Here is a 21,293-nt window from a genome sequence, read left to right as displayed (position 1 = left end):
TGTGACATTGCAGAACTCTAAGAACAGAGTAATTCTCACTCATTTCTTAGATCTTTAACACAAGAATTACATTATCTTTGAGCGGAAACTAAGGTCCTAGTCTACTCAAAGTGCGTATTTCAATTTGTTAATTCTGACAGTTTTGTTACCAGGTTGATGGGCGTATTTCAAACCTCCAACACTTAAGTTCTAATAACCTGACTTCTGCAAAAGTGCTGTTACATTATGTCCTCTTAAAGGTCCTAAGTAGTCCCTGTCAGTCTTTTAGTGACATTACTTGGCAGTATTCCTTTTTAATTATCAGGAAAATGATAAATTTTCTTGAAAATCTTTGAAGTGAGCTCATGTTAATTCAATACATTAGTGATAAGCACAATGTATAGTAGAAAGGGATAATGTAGCCAGAAGTGAAGACGAAGAATGATATTCTTAGATCTGACACTGATTTTTTCTATCATCTGCAAACCACTTGACTTCTTGCATTTTTTCCCTTCTCTGTTACTGAAAAATTTAAAACCTGTGAATTTCTACCTCATTTGATGTTGAACAGTTTTACTAGGAAAGGACCTAGACAAATGTATTGTTATATATAGACATATATATCAATTTATATAAATCAGAGGGTTTTATTTATACCTGGAATAATACAACTTTATTAAGTAAAGGTTACTTTTGAAGTCATCTAGTTTAAACTCTTTACAAACATGTGAAAACAGAAGTCAAGTATGACGGGGTAAAATGTGTGTTCAGAGGCTGTGTGTGACACAGCTAAGTTATTTATTTATTTATTTATTTTTTTGAGACGGAGTTTCGCTCTTGTTGCCCAGGCTGGAGTGCAGCGATGCAATCTCGGCTCACTGCAACCTCCACCTCTCGGGTTCAAGCAATTCTCCTTCCTCAACCACCTGAGTAGCTGGGATTACAGACTCCCGCCACCACACCTGGCTAATTTTTGTATTTTTAGTAGAGACGGGGTTTCACCATGTTGGTAAGGATGATCTCAAACTCCTGACCTCGTGATCTGCCCACCTCGGCCTCCCAAAGTGCTGGGATCACAGGCGTGAGCCACCGCATCTGACCGGTACTTTTCTGATATTCTGGATTAAATTATCTCTTCTACCTCAGCTTCATTATCTCTATGGAGAAATAATAATGGTGATAAACAAATATATTGATCTACATAATATCTTCATGAAAATATGCAAAATCAGATATTTATCTTCATAAAAATATATAAAATTATTATATACAATATGTAAAATCACTCCTTTGGGGCACTTCAGTATTAATTTATGTATTTATATATTTTTTGTGTGGGTGTGAATATATTATATACACATAATGTATAAATATAGTTCAAGATTAATTCCTTAATTCACAACAGGGCCTAAATTTTTAACTGGTGAGCTATTTAAATATTTCATTAATTTTATAATTAAGAGGGTTTTTAAAAGTGCTTCAAAAGTTTATAAATTAAATGATAGCATATGCAGATTGCTTTAGAACTCGACTTCAAATGTTTCTTAACTTTAAACATTGTTTAACAGAGCACCATTATGTAGAGCAGAATGCTTTAAAGTGAAGCTGCTAAGTGTAAAAATGCAATAAATGAATGTCTGACTTCCCTTGTAAACCATCCAACTGGTGCTTTAGCACAAGCTTATTTGTTATTAATTTAGCTAAACTTTGAAAACAGATTATTTTGATGATTAAAATACACCTTCTATATGATTATTACAAGATTGTTTTTTAGAAAAAAATTAATTTTATTTACCTATCAAAGTGTTTGAAATACAGGGCACAAATATCTTAATGCATTTATGAAGGATTTGGAATATGTTTGGATAGGTCAGTGTTGTCTGACAGAACTTTGGCCAGCCATGGGGCTGTTCTATATCTGGATTGTCCAGTGCAGTGTCCAGTAGCCACACGTGTCTATTTAGAATGGTTTTTAGTGTCATTGAGGAACCGTGCTTTTAATTTTAATTAAAGTTAAATAGGTACATGAGGTTAGTGGCTACCCTATTGGACATCACAGGTATTGATTGGTTTTTGATATAGAATCACAGAGTTAAAAGTTAATTTGTAAAAATATCTTTTGTTTTACGCTTTAGTAGAGCCACACTTAAGTCTTTTGGGAAAATTAAAATTTATTTTTAAAGGCAATGAGAAAAAGCCATCCCAAACCTCTCTTTTGTAACCTACGTAAGTTTTAAATAATACAATGTTAAAACTCACTTGTGACATTCAAAATCTTAAGTGCTATAGCTTAAATAATGTTTGTGTTTGTGTATACTTGACTCAAGTAGATGAGTACCCACCGGTTATCATGCTTTTCCTAAGACAGTAACTAAACCAACCCTCAACCATGCCCAAATGCCAACTGCTTTAACCTCTCTTTATAGGTCTTCCCCATTTATCAATCAACCTGCTCTGAACCAGCTCCAAAATATCCATGACCCTATTTGCTTACAAATTTGCTTAATATCCTCCAAATGGATTTGGGATTTGTTTTAATTGTTTAGTTGAAACTTCTTATTTCAACTGTAAATTCATGTTTTATTTAAGAATATTTGGTACATTAGTGAACCTTTTCAAATAGCTGCTAATATTTAGCTTATGGAGTAATGGCCTGGATAGAAGTCATCAGCTAATAAAAGAGGTGATTATGCTGAACAGTAGAGAGACATAAAGAAAGATCAGCAAAGCACACCTTTTGAACTCACCGTAGTGTGCTCTTACATCCACATATACTCCTGGGCTAGTCTGATGTTATTAATGGAAAGCACAGAGAAAACACTTAGTGGGGAGTTGCGATATGATTGCTGTTGATTTTTGAGGCACTCTAATTTCTAAGTATGTGGTACAATAAAAAGTTGAGTTTTGCCTTATGCTTGCACCAAAATGTTAAAATGACTCATTAATTTTGATATTTTAATACTAAACTACTAATAGTCTACTCAGGGATTTCCTATCTTCCTAATGTAATTACTTGTAGAATGCTTGGGAGGAAACCTCAAAAATGCTAAAATGACTTCACTAGCCTGCTTCCATTTTTCCTAGAAGACCTTAATCGTTTTAGATTTTAAATGTTCTAAATAGTTTGCTAAATATTAAGGGAAAATAAACTCCAAGAACTTTTTTTTTTTTTTTTTAAGTAGAACTAGCTTGTTGTATCAGTTATCTCTGACTTCCTTCTTGGCCTGGAAAATTCTCATTGCACATGCTGTTTGACATAACTACATTCTATTTTCAAAATGTCTGCTCGATTTCATTGACTATTTGCCTAAAGTCTTTACTTCCTAGTTTGCCAGATGCCATCCACTCTCAAGTACTACCTTCTAGATTTTTTTTTTTAATAAAGACTGATTGTCAAACCCTAAATTTTTTGGTTGAGAAATGTTAAATACTGGAAGTCATGCAAGCTGTGGATGATAGGTACTCTCCAAATCTATTCTGTAGCTTCTGAGTCAATCCATAAAATTGTTGCCATAAAGACAAAATTTAATTTATCTGCCTGTGCCATTACATTAAATAACAAAACAAAATAACAACAACAACAAACAAACAATGACAAACCACAAAACTGAAGAAATAAGAGTGGATGGGAAACTCCAGTGAAAAGAAAAGGTTGGGCTCCATATAAAGTTGTCCAATGCAGTGCAGCATACACTCATCAGTAGAGAAAAGCAAAATGTCTCAGGATCAGAAGAATAAACGAATATAGCAGTGTGACCTTGGATAGTTCCCTCTGAACTTCAGCTGGTCTTTTTCACATATGAAATACAGTTAATACCAGCTACCTTACTTGCTTCACAGGGTTGTTATGAGGGTCAAGTGAGAAAACAGATGGAGATTTTATAAACAAAAAAGTACTATACAAATATAAAGTGATATCATCATCATTATGACATTAAGAGCTTATCATTCAGAAGCAAACAGCAAATATCTATCAGTGTAAATTTTAAAGTTTTAAAAGGAAAAAACGAATATACTCTTTGTAGGTACTCTGGTGGACATATTATATGTCCTAGGCAATCTCAGAAATACCTATGGACAATTATATGAAAATGTCAGCCGGGCACGGTGGCTCATGCCTGTAATCCCAGCACTTTGGGAGGCCAGTGGATGACAAGGTCAAGAGATTGAGACCATCCTGGCCAACATGGTGAAACCCTGTCTCTACTAAAAATACAAAAAAGTTAGCTGGGCATGGTGGCGCACATGTTTAGTCTCAGCTACTCGGAAGGCTGAGGCAGGAGAATCACTTGAACCCAGGAAGCAGAGGTTGCAGTGAGCCGAGATCACACCACTGCACTCCAGCCTGGGTGACAGAGCGAGACTGTGTATCAAAAAAAAAAAAAAAAGTCATGAAAGAAAAAAAAGGCAAGTCATTATCATTGACAGAAATATAGGTATTTAATATTTTCTGAGTCATTAAAGTAATCCAGGAATACCAATTTTAGAAGAATGTCAGTTGAATGTCAGATGTAAAACTTTCAGTGAGTTCCACGAGGGGAATTAAAAAGATCTAGGTGACTCATTCAGCTCTATCTTCCTTTTCCTCCTCTCATCCTTCCTTTCCTCATCTCTCCTCCTTTTGTTTTCTTCCTTTACTTCCTACGCTCCTTTCCCTCTTCTGTCTTCTCACCTTATTGGGCACTCACTCTATCAGCAGAATTCTAGAGATGCTATAAGGGATATAAAAGAAGTAGAAGGCAAAAATCTACGCTCTCAGAGAGTTTTCAGATTTGGCTGAGTCCTTTGAAATTATTTGTGAATTGGTAAAAGGAGATGTTTTATCATCATTTATTTTCTGAGAACCCAGAATTAACTGTGTCTTATACAGAATAAAGAAGGCATGATCCCTCTTCTAAATGGTTTCTATTTTAATGTGATCTTAAATTACAACCTCTCAGAGTTAAGGAGATATATGAGGAAAATAAGCTTTGTAGATTTTAGGTTTCTGAACTCTTTTAATTAACACATGAGAAGAGTTTGTTTCATTTTTCATAAATCTCTCCTTATGTCAATCAACTCTTTGAACAACTAAGAACCAGACAGAAGAGGTTTTAAATGAACGTTAATATACTTTTTCGTCACTGGTTGCTCAAACTGAAAGAGATGCTTTATGAAGAAATTGGTTTCCTCCCAGGGTTTAAGCTCCTTTTCCTTCAATATGAATGTTCAGAAGACTGTTCTTTCTTGAGAGATAATTTTGACTAATATATAAGGAGCTATTTGAAGGCATGTTCCTCTTGAATGTCTTCCCTCTTAGCTTTATGAAGATTTAAAACTTTTCCATATTACTTATATAACACTGCTTTATTTCTTTTGTTTTGTTATATTATTTTGTTTTTATTTTAAATAGTATTTAATACAATTCATTAGTTCTATTTTTATATTTACAAATATAAAAATATTTACAAAATGTATATTTACAAAATGTTCCAAAAATATTAATTCATCTTCTTAAAACTCTACTTGAATCTGGATTGCCAGATGGTCATAAGTATTTTTTTCTCTCTTTTTTTTCTTAATTATTATTATACTTTAAGTTTTAGGGTACATGTGCACAATGTGCAAGTTAGTTACATATGTATACATGTGCCATGCTGGTGTGCTGCACCCATTAACTCGTCATTTAGCATTAGGTATATCTCCTAATGCTATCCCTCCCCCCTCCCCTCACCCCACAACAGTCCCCAGAGTGTGATGTTCCCCTTCCTGTGTCCATGTGTTCTCATTGTTCAATTCCCATCTATGAATGAGAACATGCGGTGTTTGGTTTTTTGTCCTTGCGATAGTTTACTGAGAATGATGATTTCCAATTTCATCCATGTCCCTACAAAGGACATGAACTCATCATTTTTTATGGCTGCATAGTATTCCATGGTGTATATGTGCCACATTTTCTTAATCCAGTCTATCATTGTTGGACATTTGGGTTGGTTCCAAGTCTTTGCTATTGTGAATAGTGCCGCAATAATCATACGTGTGCATGTGTCTTTATAGCGATCATCAGTATTTGAGTAAAAATTAAGAACATATGTTAATGGGCATTATAACTTGTCTGGATTTTCAAAATGTAACTAAGAACAATACTTGTTGTTGTTGTGTAATGATATAGTACTTATATAGTACTTTAGAGAGGATTTCAACTTGCTATATAGATTTTAAAAATATTCTTCCTCCAGGGGTTAAAGAAAAAAGTCAGAAACCGAGCTATTCTCAGTAACATTGCAAATAACAAGATGCAAAATACATTTTCACCCTTTTAATAAACTTGCTTTTATTATTATATAGGAAGTCTGGAATTTCTGAGTGATTGGTAATCTATGATCTTATTTTCCCAAGCATTGTACTTAGGAGAGAACAAGTATATCAAAAAATTATATAGGGGAGGTAAAAAGTTGGATATGTGGCCTTTACAAAACCATGTTTTTAGTTTGGGGAGAGGAGTTTTTTTTTTTGCATGGGCTTACAAAATAGGCTTATGAGCTAATCAAACAACTTAAAAATGCAAATATACCAGAATTTAGTTAACTGAATGAGTCTTTGGTAATTACTTTCAGTGCCAATTGGTGGGTGATACTGAAAAATATTTCTTGTGGTTTCTTTTCTTTCTTTCCTTCCTTCCTTCCTTCCTTTCTTTCTTTTTTTTTTTTGTTTTTGACAGAGTTTTGCTCTTGTTGCTCAGGCTGGAGTGTGCAATGGCATGATCTCGGCTCACCGCAACCTCCGCTCCTGGGTTCAAGTGATTCTCCTGCCTCAGCCTCCCGAGTAGCTGAGATTACAGGCATGCGCCACCACACCTGGCTAATTTTGTATTTTTAGTAGAGACAGGGTGTCTTCTTGTTGGTCAGGCTGGTCTCAAACTCCGGACCTCAGGTGATCCGCCCGCCTTGGCCCCCTAAAGTGCTAGGATTTACAGGCGTGAGTCACCCCACCCGGCCTCTTGTGGTTTCTTTTAAAATTCATTAATATTGGTTATAAATAACTTTTGAGCAAGTTAAAATATTTAAAGCAACATCAATGACATGCCAAAGAATGTTTAGTAGGCTCTGAAGGTCCTTCCAAATAAATAATTTACCAATATCTGAGCATTAACAAGATCAATGAACCAATTATCTATTTTTCTAAGGTAACTTTTGCTGGTTACACCCATTTGCATATATGGCTCATTTTGTTGTTTCTTTCAAAGTTAGGAAAATGATTTTATAGCATAACTCCAAAACATAATGACTTTGAAGCATATATTAACGTGGTCTTATGGTAGGCCAAATAATGCCCTCCACCCACCAAAGATGTTTACTTCCTAATCACCAGAACCTGCAACTATGTTACCTTTCACAGCAAAAGAGATTTTGCAGAACAATTAAGGATTTTGAGATAGGGAAATGATACTGGATTATCCAGGTGGGCTCACTGATGTACCTGCAAAGGTCTTTGTAAGAGGGAGGCAGGAAGGTCATGGTAAGAGAGAAAAAATATAAAGACAGAAGCAGTAAAGTCAGACTCTACGAGAACACAATGAGATGACTGAAGCAGCTAGAGAGGAGAAAAATTTGAAGATGCCACATTGCTGGCTTTGAAGATGGAGGAAGGATCCAGGAGCCAAGGAGTGTAGTAGTCTTTAGAAGCTAGAGAGGCAAGGAAACATATTTTCCCCTAGACCTCTGGAGGGAACACAGTCCTGCTGACTTGACTTTAGCTCAGTGAGGCTGATTTTGGACTTCTGTCCTCCGGAAGATAATAAACTTGTGTTGTTTTAAACCACTAAATTTGTGGTAATATGTTATAGCAGCAAGAGGAAATTAATATAGACTCTGAGGATTAGAAATTGAGTAATAACCCAAAATAATCCTAGAAATTATCTAGCCCAACTTCTTACCCATGAATTTCATAGTAACACCATCCAAGTATTGAGTGTCATTCTACCTGAAGTTACATAATCTGTAGCAAAATTGTAAAACTCCTGTATCCTAACCTTGCAGTCTTACATGCTTTCTTGTATATTATGTTAAGTAAAATCCAATTCATGTTTCAGCAATTTATATTCTATGTAATTTTTCCTTGATGTCTTTGTAAGAAGATTAGTAGTTCTGAAATAGATCGATACATATTGACTCAATTTTTCTCCATAGATTCTAATGACAGTATAGAGACAGGAATTAGCATTCCCACTTTAGGTCTTTCCAAGCTGAGGATCATCACCTTGTCTGACAGCATTAGACTTTGCTTGGGTATGAGAAGTGGAAGAATCATGTATTATCATAGATCCCTTAAGTTAGAGCTATTCTATTAAATAATCAGCTCTAGGGGTAGATTTTAGTCATCGTTCTCTATAGAAGATCCATGGATAAGCCTGGTGGATTGTCAGGGGTTGGAATTATTGCTGAAGTTTGATGCTTCTTTCCTGAAGTTCTTGACTTCAGGAAGCATGAAAAGCCATGAGGAAACTTTTCATGGAGGAATGTCTTATTCTACTCTACATAGAACCTTTTCAGCAGTTTCACATTCCCTGGGTCTCTATCTTCTGTGGCCTATTCACTGTAGATTACCTAGAGAATTGATCTTGATACTATCTTAAGTTTACCATACCATCTTTTCCTTTATTTGACTGTTCTGGTTCTTTGTATTTCCACATAAATATTAGAATCTACTTGTCAATTTCTACAAAAAGTCTACCTGGATTTTGATTGGCATTGAATTAGATACATAGCTCAACTGGGGAAAAGTGACATTAGAAAATATTGAGTATGCCAATCACTGACCATATTATACCTCTCCATTTATTTCAGTCTTTTTAAATTTCACTCAGAAAATTTTGTTTTCAGTTTATTTATTTATTTATTTATTTTTTGAGACACAGTCTTACTCTCTTGCCCAGGCTGGAGTGCAATGGCATGATCTCGGCTCACTGCAACCTCCGCCACCCGGGTTCAAGCTATTCTCCTGCCTCAGCCTCCTGAGTAGCTGGGATTATAGGCGTGCACCACCACGCCCGGCTAATTTTTTTGTATTTTTAGCAGAGACAGGGTTTCACTGTGTTAGTCAGGATGGTCTCGATCTCCTGACCTCATGATCTGCCCGCCTCGGCCTCCCAAAATGCTGGGATTAAAGGCATGAACCACCGTGCCCGGCCTTCAGTGTATATTTAAAATTTTTCATCATTTGTGGTTGGTAAAAAATAGTATACTTACCTTTGTATATTGACTTTGTACACTGCAACCTTACTAAATTCACTTTTTTGAAGGCATAGTTAAAATTCATGACCTTCCTGCCATTTCCTTTGTCATCTCTGAAAATTTTATTTTTATTAGTCTGTGAAAACTACTTTTCTAGGGTCATCTTGGAGTAGCCAACTTCTATGATCTGTTTTCCCAATTTTCCTTTTCTACTTCTCTATAATATGTGGATAACTTGTTCCTTCATAGAACACACACACACAGACACACACACACACAGAGGCATGTGTGTACAAAAAGCTTTTTCTCAGTTGCCATGGCAGTATGCTAACATGGATCTCTAACACTGACTATTCATTTCCAGAGTGCTTCTGTAGCTTTTTTGAATTTCCTATCTTTTATATTGGAAGTGTTGCTCCATGTTCTTTCCAAAGTTGTCTTCTCTTCTTGTTCTACATCCTTAAATTTGATATATATTTTTTTCCCACTCCTTTGGCTTCAAATACAAGCTACTTCAGGGAAGGTCCAAGTTCCTGTCTTAGCACTGATATTTCTTCAGAAATACACTTCGTACTTCCAAATGCGTAGGAAAGGTCTATTGCGACTTAACAATTAGAGCAGAACTTGTTTGCTTTAACTGGCATGAATAAACCTTTTTAGTTTACTTTTAATTCTCTGACTATTCTACCAGGCTCTCAGCCTCTAAGTCTGCATCCTTCTTTTCATTCATCCCTTCAAACTCCTAGTACTTCACTCCTGTTTATTTCTACCATGTTTCCCTTTATAGTACTTCCTTTCATTTGGATTGCCATTGTCCTAATTCAGCATCACATTAATGCTTTAAATTACTTATTGTGCACATTTTAAGAAGTCCAGAAATCTTAAGAGGAAATTTTTTAGTATCTCAACTTTTAATTTTATATGTACTTTTGCCATTTTTTTCGGAATATATATTTACATTTTAGTTGCAATAATAGTATAGATACAATTTTATTCCATTTTTACATGTTTCTCATATCACTACATAACTTTCATGATTATAATTTTGATAGCTACATAGCAACCCATCAAATTTTTTATTGTAATTTTTGTTAGACATCTAGGATTTTTTAATGTTTTTACTGTCACAAATAACATGACAGTGACTCTTTGTATGAACGGTATTTAAAATTTTATATTTTCAGTAAAATATATATGTTTCATATGACTTTTAAAATATCAAATTTCTTTCCAAAAGTATTATTTACTGATTTATTCACTGATTGTATACAAGTGCTTCTTACATTTTAACCTCACAATTATTGTTTAAATTTTTGGCTAATTTTAAAGGTGTGAAATGGTACTATATTCTGTATATATCTTTGCTTAATAATTGACAAAGTTGAGCTTTTTTTTCCCAGTATTGTGTTGGATAATTGAACTTCTTTTCTGATCTTGATACTTTTGCCTAAATTACTTTCAATAGCCTGACTGGCCTTCCTCTTCCGTCACATTTTATCTCCTCCTGTCAGAGTAATAGTTACAAAATGTATATAATCAACCCACTGCAAAAATGAAACAAAGAGAAGTTTTAATACCTGTTAACTGTCAAGTAAGGGCAAACTCTTCAGTTGGTATCTCAGACTTTCCATAGTCAAGGTTTAACTAGCCTTCTAGCCTTTTCTCACACTATCTTCCGGGTAGTGTAAGTGTTAGCCACAATGTCATACTCTTATTCCTGAGGCCCCTTATTTTCCTCTTCCATGCATTAGTCACTCTCATCTCTTCATCTGAAGCCCCTCTGTTCCAACCCTACTAATTAGGAAACCATCAAATACTACACCTTTCTGAAACTTACATGGTCATTCCATTAGAATTAATCTAGTTTGTATTTTCATTATGCCTTTTTAAAACCCAGGTTTTAGTGCTTATTCTCCCCTTAAATAACTTTTGATGTCCAAATCTGAATTTTCCATTCCATTTTAAGTTCGTTGAAGTAAGGGGCTGTCCTTAAGCAATCTTTGATTCTCTACAGTGCCCAATACAGTGGATAAGACATAACAAAATTTAGTAAATATTTGTTGAATGGTTTGAGTTCAATAAACTTAAGACTATTGTGAAACTTATAGAGGGGATAAATTGTTAGACTCTGTAAGTGAACAGAGATGAATCCTACATAGCTTAACTTACAATTGAGATAAGTTACAATATCCCTGCTGCCATCCATTCATAAGAGAAGATAATAAAAGCTCAGAAGGGACATATTATTAAGAATGGTTATGAATATAAAGAAGCCCTTGTGCTCTTAATAATATAATTTAACATGAGGCTGTATATTTGAGCGCTTGTCAACCCCTTGCTTCCCCTCCCACATAATAGTTCTTTACTTATTTGCTTCATTTGTTAGGATGATATTTTAAAGATTGGCTTAGATTGAGGTGGCTCACCCATTTAATTTCATTAAGCTATGATTATAAAAAATACTATAATTCTGTCCATTCATTGATTTTGACAACATGTTTTTTATTGTAAGGCGATTTGGGACTGTGCTGCAAGAGAAGGTGACCTTGGTAGAATCTAAACTACTGTACTTCTTGACACAGTGAGGGAAAGCAGTTGATATTGGTATTAACACAATTATGTTGTTAAATGCATCACAGGTGAGGTATTTAAAGCAAATTAAACAAGTGACGTTCTTATTTCATAAATGCATTTAATCTCATGCTTGGCTGTTTTTATGGTAGAATTACAGCAATGGAGAAAATTAGGCAAGAACGGAAGAGGAACAGATTTGTTCATAAACGGACGCTTAGAATTTGAACTTAAAGTGAGTAAGGAGCATCAAAAGTCAAATAGGACAAACAGGGTAGATGGTATTCATGGAGACAAAGGATTAACTGAGGTTATTTTAAGACTATTTATATGGAAGGGATGACATTACATAGGGAGACCTCCAGGAGTCCTGACTTTGAGCCCCAGCTATATCAATGACTCACACTGTGTAACCTGGAACAAATTACTCAACCTCTTTGTACTCCATATTTCTTATTTATAAAGTGTACATAATTTTATATACGATAAAGTTCTTGCAAGAATCAATTAGAAAAGAGGCAAGAAACCAGGTACGGTGGCTCATGCCTGTAATCCTAGCACTTTGGGAGGCCGAGGCAGGGGGATCACCTGAGGTCGGGAGTTTGTGACCAGCTTGACCAATGTGGAGAAACCCTGTCTCTACTAAAAACACAAAATTAGCCTGGCGTGGTGGCACATGCCTGTAATCCCAGCTACTTGGGAGGGTGAGGCAGGAGAAGCGCTTGGACCCGGAAGGCAGAGGTTGTGGTGAGCCAAGATAACGCCATTACACTCCAGCCTGGGCAACAGAGCGAGACTACGTCTCAAAACAAAATAATAATAAAATAAAATTAAAAAAAGAAAAGTGGCAAGAATGGTTTCAAATGTGAAGTAACCCATATTTATGAGGTAGTATTGATATCCTGTTGTAAAAACCTTATCATCCTACCATATTTGAACTTGATTCATTAATTAACTCAGAAAATATTTAGTAAGTGCAGGCACTGTATTCATTAGATATGTAATAGTGAATGGAACAGAAGATCTAATTCCTGCTCTCAAGATACTTATGATCTAATAAGGGTCACTAGTTAACAAACTGATACTGAAAATCAGAGTTTGTCTTAATAGTTTCCCTTTAACCCACTTGCCAGATTAGCTAGTGTTTTCCATTTCATCTGCAAAACACATTGACTGGCGTCTCTTATACACTGAATGCCTGGGTAGTAATAATATCTAATATTTATACACAACACTTAACACCTTCCATGAACTGTTTTAAGTGCGTTGCTCAAATTAACTCCTTTAATCTTCACAACAAAACCTTAATTAATGTCATTCTCATTTTGCATATGAGGAAACTGAGGCACAGAGAGGTTAAGTGGCTTGTCCACGGTTAAAAAGGCTAGTAGGTAATGGATCAGGATTCACACCCAGGCATTCTGGCTCCAGAGCCCACAGACTTAATCACTAGGTAACAACACTAGCAGGTCTGTCTATTACTGCTCTCACCAGTTGAATTGAAACCTTATTTAAAGGTCATCTGTATTTGTTCCCAAACATGTTTATAACAGTTGTACTAGATTTTTTATGTAATTTAATCAAATATCATGTAACATACTAGAAATGCAAAATACAAATGTGGTTTTGGACATTTATAACCAATTTGAATATGCTGATAAGACTTAAGGGGTGTTGCCTTTAAAAAGTTGGGTGAAGAAAATCAGGAATCAGGAATCAAATCAGAAATGGGTGAAAGCGAAGAGTAAACTACCTCATAAAACATAGACATTTGCTGTAGTTGGCCTCATATGCCTTTATGCTCTCATTTTAAGTAAAAATAAATGAAAGTGGAAAATACAGAAAAGTACATATTTATAGTGAGTGAATCACTACCAAAATACAAAGTCTTGGCCCTACTGTAAACACTTGAAAAGTGAATTAACATTTATATATTTTAAGTTAAAATATATGTTTAATATATATCCACAGGCCAGGCATGGTGGCTCACACCTGTAATCCCAGCACATTGGGAGGCCAAGGTGGGCAGATCACTTGAGGTCAGGAGTTTGAGACCAGCCTTGCCAACATGGTGAAACCCCATCTCAACTTAAAAAATACAAAAATTAGCTGGGCGTGGTGGCACACCCCTGTAGTCCCGGCTACTTGGGAGGCTGAGGCAGGAGAATCGCTTGAACCCTGGAGGCGGAGGTTGCAGTGAGCCGAGATTGGGCCACTATATTCCAGCCTGGGTGACAGAGTGAGACTCCATCTCAAAATAAAATTGTACACATAAAATTGTACGCGCGCACACACACACACACACACACACACACAGATGATTTTTGTGACATCACATTTTGTCAACTTTTTTGATTAACCTACTAACTGTCCTGTAAGAAAGAAATATTTTCAAATACCTCCACTTCCAAACATTAGAACTATGGCTGGTGTTGTAGGTAGAGCCATATGAGTTTCTGTTACTGCAAGAGGGTGAATCACAGTATATTTCTTAAAGGCCGAACCATAGAGGATGGATTGTGGTTCCCAGTGTGGTACACAAAAGATAGATTGTGGATGCCAGCATGGTATGTGGAGGACTAATCGTGGCTCACAGAGTAGATTTCTTTTTATTCCACATAATCAACTCTGTTCTTCTTTCCAGAGCAACAGGATGTGGTAGAAAGAATCCTAGATTCTAATCAGAAACAGCCTTTCTCTATGTCAGTGTGTTCTTGGTAACTAACCTAACCTCACTGTGTTCTTGGGAACTAACCTAACCTTGGCCTAGTTTATTTGAAGTTGGCAATTTCAGTAATGTTTTTAGATCTAACATAGCCCTCAATGAATATTAGTTAAATGGACCTGAAAACACTTTGGAAATCACAAAATATTAAATCCCATATTTTCATACTATGAATATATTGTTTGCTCAGTTATTGTTACATCTATTTTATTATACAATGATTAGCTATAAATCTGTGAGCTCCATGAGATTCCAGATCTTGGCTCATTAATTTTTGTACAGACACCTGCACCTAGCCAAGTGTCTAGGTTCTTCTCATATATAGAAGGTATTCAGTAGATACAATTTATGTGAACTAATTAGAAATCCCCTATTTTGAACCAGACATTTTGATGGTAAAACTTATTTTGATAGGATATAAAATATTCGTATCATTCCAGTTTTAGATATTGTTATAGAGGTGTTTTTCTTACTTTCTCAAAGTCTACTAAAATTATCAAAGAAGTCAAAAAAGAGGGAAAATATTGTCATCTCCAAGAAAGCAAGGAAGCCTCACAACTGCAATGATACAAATTACGAAGTCCATATATTAAATATTGAAATAGATAATCAAACCCACTAAGAGATGTTGACTCAGACATTATCAATAGGTGCCTTTCCCCCAAAAATATTTGGTAGTTTTTGATTAAAGAGAGCTTAGTTTCTGCGTGATACATAAGAAAAGTAGAGAATAACCACGTAGAAATCCCGCCTGAGACTCTAGAATGGTAGGGAAGGGAAGCCTCAGAGGGACTTTCTGCCAACAACCTCGTTCTATTCTCTACCACTTTGTCTTTCAGCCCAGGCAGTCTGTCAAAGAAGGTGGAAGAAGTAGGTGGTACACTGCTGTAGGGAAACTTGCTGTGATCCATGCAAACTCCTTAAATAAAACAAACAAACAAAAAGAAACGAGGGAAGAACTACTTTCAATGTTAAGAAAATAAAATATTTGGAAAGAAGATGTTTGAGTTCGTAAGCTGAAATAGTGGCTGCCAACTTCCTCAGTACATTTCCAGCTATCCCCTTCCTCTTCCCCTCCCCATTGTACTACTTGGTCAGTTGCTATCTCATTCAAAGAGGAGTAGCGATCAGAAAGGGAACAGTGGATAAACTCATGCATAAAACTACCATTTTCTGTTTCACACATGGAGAGGAAAACAAGCAAATAAATGACACAAGTGTATATCACAACAAATACGTATTCTAAAAATAGGGTTCAGAAAGGAGACAGATGAATTCAAAGAAGAGAGTATACAGCAATAAAAGCAGTGAAAACAGAACAAGAGTTCAGTAAAAAATGAAAATGGAAATGAAAAAAATGACAGAAATAAAATAGACACTGGAAGCAACACAAATAGAATAAACTTGATTGAAAACAAAGTCACAAGCATAGATACTAGGTTGGAAAAAAATCTGACAAAATGAAATGTGTATGAACAGTGTGAAGTTTTTATAATGAAGAAAGATACGGAAGACAGGGAAAAGAGAGACAACATGTACGTAATTGGTGATCCTAAGAATAGGGAACAGAAAAAAATGAATCAATAAAAATAAAAAATAAAAAGAAGAAAATTGTTACAAAGATTTGAATCTTCAAATTGAAGTTCATACTCTGTTCTAGGACAATTTTAGATAGAACAATGAATACTGAGAGATACTTTAAACTGTTTCCTGAACTCCAAGGATAAATATTCAACCAGATGAACATTTATGGAAAAGATACCAGCTACATGTAAGGAGAATAAAGGTTGGCTTTCAATTTCCACGTAATATGAGAACCCAGAGAAGCAATTACTACACAATTCTGAAGGAGGGGAAGTATGACTCAAGTTTTATTTTCAGTCAAATATAGTATCAAGAGAAAGACATTCTGAAACAAAACTTAGACAATATAGAACCCTGGAGCTCTTCTTTAAACTCATGTGCATGCACATACATGATGAGTCAACATCAGTAGCTCAAGAATGGAGGAACTCTGATTTAAGATGGTTAGCATCAAATCTATCTATGGATAAAAAATAACAGCTTTAGAAATTAGAGAATAGCATATAAATGGTATAAACTATGATAATGAAAGCATGTTAATGAAAATGATTAATATGTGACAAGGTAATATTGGAAGAGGTATCAGTTAATTTCCCTAACTACATAGCATGGGGTTAATAGCTACTACCTAATGTTGAAATAGACAGATGATTCTAACCTCCTAAAGTTTTTCCATTTTTTACCTCAACTTTGGAGTGCCCTTGTAGAAAAGAAAACATGTTTTGGGTTTAAGAAACGTTTACCTGAATTTCAGTTTTTAGTTCAAATTTTCTTTAGTCAAATTAAAGGAAAAGAAAATATAACATTTAAATATTAAAATGCATATATAATTTGATTTCATTTTTTTCAAAATTAAGGCTTATGTATGTATACATCTCTCTGACCATTTTTCTACCTTGGTAAACATTTAGCTATGTTTGGAATGATGTTTACTTGGTGGTAGAGATGGCTGTTTTTTTTCTGATAAATGGAATTTGGATGACTTAAAGTGAAACTTTCTGAAACTTCTCTTTATTACTTGAAGTTTTTATATAGGACATATATCATCTCAATGAAAGAATAGTCATTCTTTTAAAAAATTACAGCCTTACCACCATCTCTTCTTTAGAATTTTTTTCCATTAGCTACTAAAGAAAGTCTTTGGCAAATACATTATAAATTTTGGAATTGAAGTACAAAATAAAAGAGATCATAGGAACAGTATCTTCTCCAATATTTTAATCTAAAAACTAATTTTGTCTAGAAGAATATATTTCAAGAATGCATATGTTACAAACAGGCACCACCTGGGATTCCCAGATAAAGATATTTCTTAAGTTATATAGTCCATAATCTCACAGGTTATACAATTAGGAAGTATACAGTAGTTAATTAAAGCTGTAAATAGAAGCCAAGATTCCCTTCAACAAAACAGAATGACATAAATTACAATTTTTGTGTAAACCTATTACCACTGCTGCATCAATTTTATAAGGGATCTATGTAAGTCTACTGTGGTTATAAATTTAAGAAAATCACTTGTACACCTGTGAAGCACTAAAGCATGCATGGTGAAGAATGGTAGGAAAAGAAATACTTTTTCTAGTGAAATGATTAGTGCACAATAGTGATCGACTTCTACAATGAACCAAAATACAAACTAATGTTGATTCTTTGCTTTAAGGGGAAAAAAGGTTATTTTTTACACTCCCCCTTTTGTCTCTGTCCTTCATCACTTGTTTTTAGAGACAAATTCTCTGGAGTGTTTATAAAACAGCAGTCCTGGGAAACCCTGATTTAGTGGGTTTTTAGACCTTGGGGCTCTGGGGTACCTTTTCACACCCCAAATGGCACACTGGGAAGGCTAGATATCAGAGATCAATCTACATCCTTGTGAGAGTGGGCCTGTATCTTTTCTGTATTCACCAGTAATGACTTTAAAATTCATGCAAATCAGAAGTGCACATTTGGAAAAAAACTTCCAGGATATTACATCAGAGTAACTGTCAACCTCTTTAAAGGAAAATTTTGATTATACTGAGCTGCTTTACCTGCCTATTACCTTCCTTCAAATTAATTATTCCTCAGATTTAACTGTATGGTATTAATACTTTTAATACTTTTGTATCAAGAAAAGGAAGTAATCTGTACTCATAGCCATCAACAAGTATAACTGTGCTTTTAGGAGTACTGTGTTTGCCGAGGTCATGGTATAGTTCAGTATAAAGTGTTTTAATGTGACTTTTTGCACAGCACGTGAATGGACTTTGAAATAGCATTGCATGTCTGAGAATTCTGTCTCTTTAAATTGTCTGCTTTGCTTATTGGAAATGATAACAATGATTGTTTGAAGTTATTATTAATTTTTTTAGTTTTAACAAATCCTAATAAAGGAAAACATATCTATTAAAAACTGAAATAACTACTCACTGAAATAAACAGCAAACATTATAGATATACAACTTTAATTTTGAATGGTAGAGAATTTTATTAAATGAAGAGAGGCAACTTAATAGAGTATTAAGGACAGACACCAGATGCATTTGACAGATCTGAATTTGAGTCAGGTTCTTACACCCATTAGCATTTTTGACTTTAGTCTTTTCACCTAACTTCTCTGAGCCTTAATTTCTCCATGTAGAAAATGAAAGATGATGTCTTTCCTATCTCGTTTAGGATTGCTGTAATATAATAATATGTATAACAGTATTGCTTAAAGAATATTACCTAGTGGCCATTGCAGTGCATAAGAACTGGTAAGATGCCTTACCTGGAAAATATAAGGGAAAAGTGTTGGTTTTTTTAAAATCATGAAAAGATAAGATTGAAAATGGCGTGTCTTTGCTGCTAATTAATGATTGCTTTATGTTCATGGAGCTGTAACATTTTTCCCACCTGCAGAACATATTATAGTAAGCTCTAGTTATATTTTCTAGGATCGCTTTTAATAAAACTTTAACAAACACTCGTGAATTCCAACAAAAATCTTGATCATTTTACAGAAGTGTATATCCAAAACCACCGTGAAGCTGGAAATACATCAAAGACGTGATTACATTTGTCCAAGTTAAGAGGACAACCAATGAGGGCACAATGGACAGGGTTCTTTAGGTATGTTGGGTATAAATTGTGATAATTTTTATCTTCGTAGGGTTCCTGAAGACAAGCAAGTAGGTTTTATGTTTTCTAAGATGAAAAAGAACAATGATGCTTTTTGAAATAAAGCTTTGGAGAAAGTCTGCAGAATAACAAAGGTTTTCATCATTCTAAAATCATAAAGGCAAATATTTATAATTTCCTCACAATTGTGAGCTATAACAATTTATATTATATCAAATAATTTTTAAATGAAAAATCAACCTAAAGGGAAAAGGGGAGAAGATACTATAGAGAGGACTGACCTGTAGGTGGGCATCTAGGAGATCTGGCACCGAGGTGGTGGCATTTCTATTTTCTCTGGGTTTCAGTTCTCTACCCATGAAATGAATGGGTTGGACTAGATGATCCCTTTCAGCTCTGAAATTCCGTGACCTTGTGACATTCTTCATACTCTGTGACATAGGAAGTGCATCACACACTGTAGGGTTTTCCCCTTCTGTCAGTACAGTGCACTGCACAGTGGATAAGAATGTAGACTCCAGAGCCAGAGAGAGTTGTGTTTGACTTGTATCTACGGAGCTTGTGATTTTTGGCAAGTTACCATAATTTCTTTAAGTTTCTGTTTCCTCATATATTAAACCTAAAGATAATGCCTATAGAGTTCTTGAAATGACAGAGGAGGTAATGTTGGTCAAAACCATGGATGGGTACTCCTGGGGCTCCATAGTGGGTTTCAAGGGCAGGTGTTTATGAAGCCAGGTTCTGGGGCCTGATGATCTGGGACTGAATTCCACCTCTGCCACATGCAACCTGTAGGTCCTTGGGCAAATTACTTCCTCAAGTTCTGCTTCCATTTTCTCTTCTGTATGTATGGTTGATGATAATACCTACCTCCTAGGGTTATTATGAGGATTAAATTAGTTCATACATATAAAGTGCTTAGAAAAGTACCTGGTACATGTAAGCACTCTATATATTTGCTATCGTCATCATTATCATCATCATTATTAAAGTTACACATAGCCTAGGGTGAAATTCTACTAAAAATTTTAGGGAAAAAATACTCATTTATATTATCACCAACATGTACATGTTATGGAATAGAATGAAAGTTTCCATAAATATTGACAGTAAAGTTTTAAGTTTAACTCCAGAAAGACAATGCAGCACTGTAAAGCACTTTCTGGCTTCCTAATTGCACTCTATGGGTAAATTTCTGTTTTTTCACTAGCAATTGTGTATTCTACTGAATTTGTAACCTTCTGAATAGTTTATTATTAAAAACAGAACAGGCTAGCTTTTTTTTTTTTTTTTTTGAGACAGACTTTTGCTCTGCCCCAGGCTGGAGTGCAGTGGCATGATCTTGGCTCACTGCAACCTCCGTCTGCTGGGTTCAAGCAATTCTCCTGCCTCAGCCTCCCGAGTAGCTGGGACTACAGTCACATACCACCACACCCGGCTAATTTATTTATTTATTTTTTGTATTTTTAGTAGAGACGGGGTTTCACCGTGTTAGCCAGGATGGTCTTGACCCCTTGACTTCGTGATCCGTCTGCCTTGGCCTCCCAAAGTGCTGGGATTACAGGCGTGAGCCACCGCGCCTGGCCTATATTGACATAGTTGACAAATAATCTTAATTTCAGTTTAATAATATGAGATTTTATAGATTTATATTGTAGATTCTCTATTATATTATAGTTGTCTAAGATTCATGGTAAATGTGTTTTTGAAAATGTCAATTCAATTGTTAGGTTTAGAAGAAATAATGTTAACCATAAAGGAGTATAATTTGACAAATATTTAATTAGTATCTACAAATATGTCAAACTCTGCTGAGAACTGGGCATACAAATATGGATATGCTCAAATCCTTTCTGTGGAGGAGTTCAGCATTTGGGGTATGGCAAACATTGTTGGTTGGCTGAGTCGAAAGCTCTTGCTAACACTCTTCTTTCTTGCATGGCTATACAAAAGCATTGGAAAATTCCTAGCAGCTACTGATATGTGAGCAGAAACTTGCTGGAAGTGATAGTGGTGGTGGCGGTGGTAAAGATGCTTCTGTTTTCTTATTAAAAGAGGATGATTGTAGCTAGTGCTCCCCCCACTCTTCTTCTTGCCTTGAGCACAGATCTAATACCTACAGG

At 35.2% G+C, this 21,293-nt stretch overlaps 2 protein-coding genes and 1 long non-coding RNA gene across 10 annotated transcripts in view; 2 read left to right on the top strand and 1 right to left on the bottom strand.

Annotated features, from left to right (window-relative positions):
- The window catches only part of CTNNA3 (catenin alpha 3), a 1,851,072-nt gene that overhangs the window by 731,791 nt on the left and 1,097,988 nt on the right, over nucleotides 1–21,293 (top strand). The gene's annotated exons all lie outside the window — the stretch shown is intronic.
- LRRTM3 (leucine rich repeat transmembrane neuronal 3) overlaps nucleotides 1–21,293 on the bottom strand; it is a 175,516-nt gene that overhangs the window by 69,748 nt on the left and 84,475 nt on the right. Inside the window, exons 1-2 of one of the 2 annotated variants that reach the window (NR_111909.1) lie at nucleotides 19,452–19,538; nucleotides 18,778–18,820 (exon numbers count right to left, since the gene is read on the bottom strand). The exons of the other annotated variant lie outside the window; for it this stretch is intronic. The gene's annotated coding sequence lies outside the window, so the exon portion shown is untranslated. Of the gene's footprint in view, nucleotides 1–18,777; nucleotides 18,821–19,451; nucleotides 19,539–21,293 lie in introns of those variants that run through there. 2 annotated transcript variants of the gene reach the window in all.
- LOC101928961 (uncharacterized) overlaps nucleotides 19,651–21,293 on the top strand; it is a 118,044-nt gene continuing 116,401 nt past the window's right edge. Inside the window, exon 1 of the long non-coding RNA NR_111911.1 lies at nucleotides 19,651–19,741. This is a non-coding gene — a long non-coding RNA (uncharacterized LOC101928961). The remainder of the gene's footprint in view (nucleotides 19,742–21,293) is intronic.

The sequence above is a fragment of the Homo sapiens genome, chromosome 10, assembly GCF_000001405.40.
Source record: "Homo sapiens chromosome 10, GRCh38.p14 Primary Assembly".
NCBI lineage: Eukaryota > Metazoa > Chordata > Mammalia > Primates > Hominidae > Homo > Homo sapiens.
The sequence above is the reverse complement of the archived record's forward strand: the minus strand, read 5'-3'. Positions and strand labels throughout refer to the sequence as shown.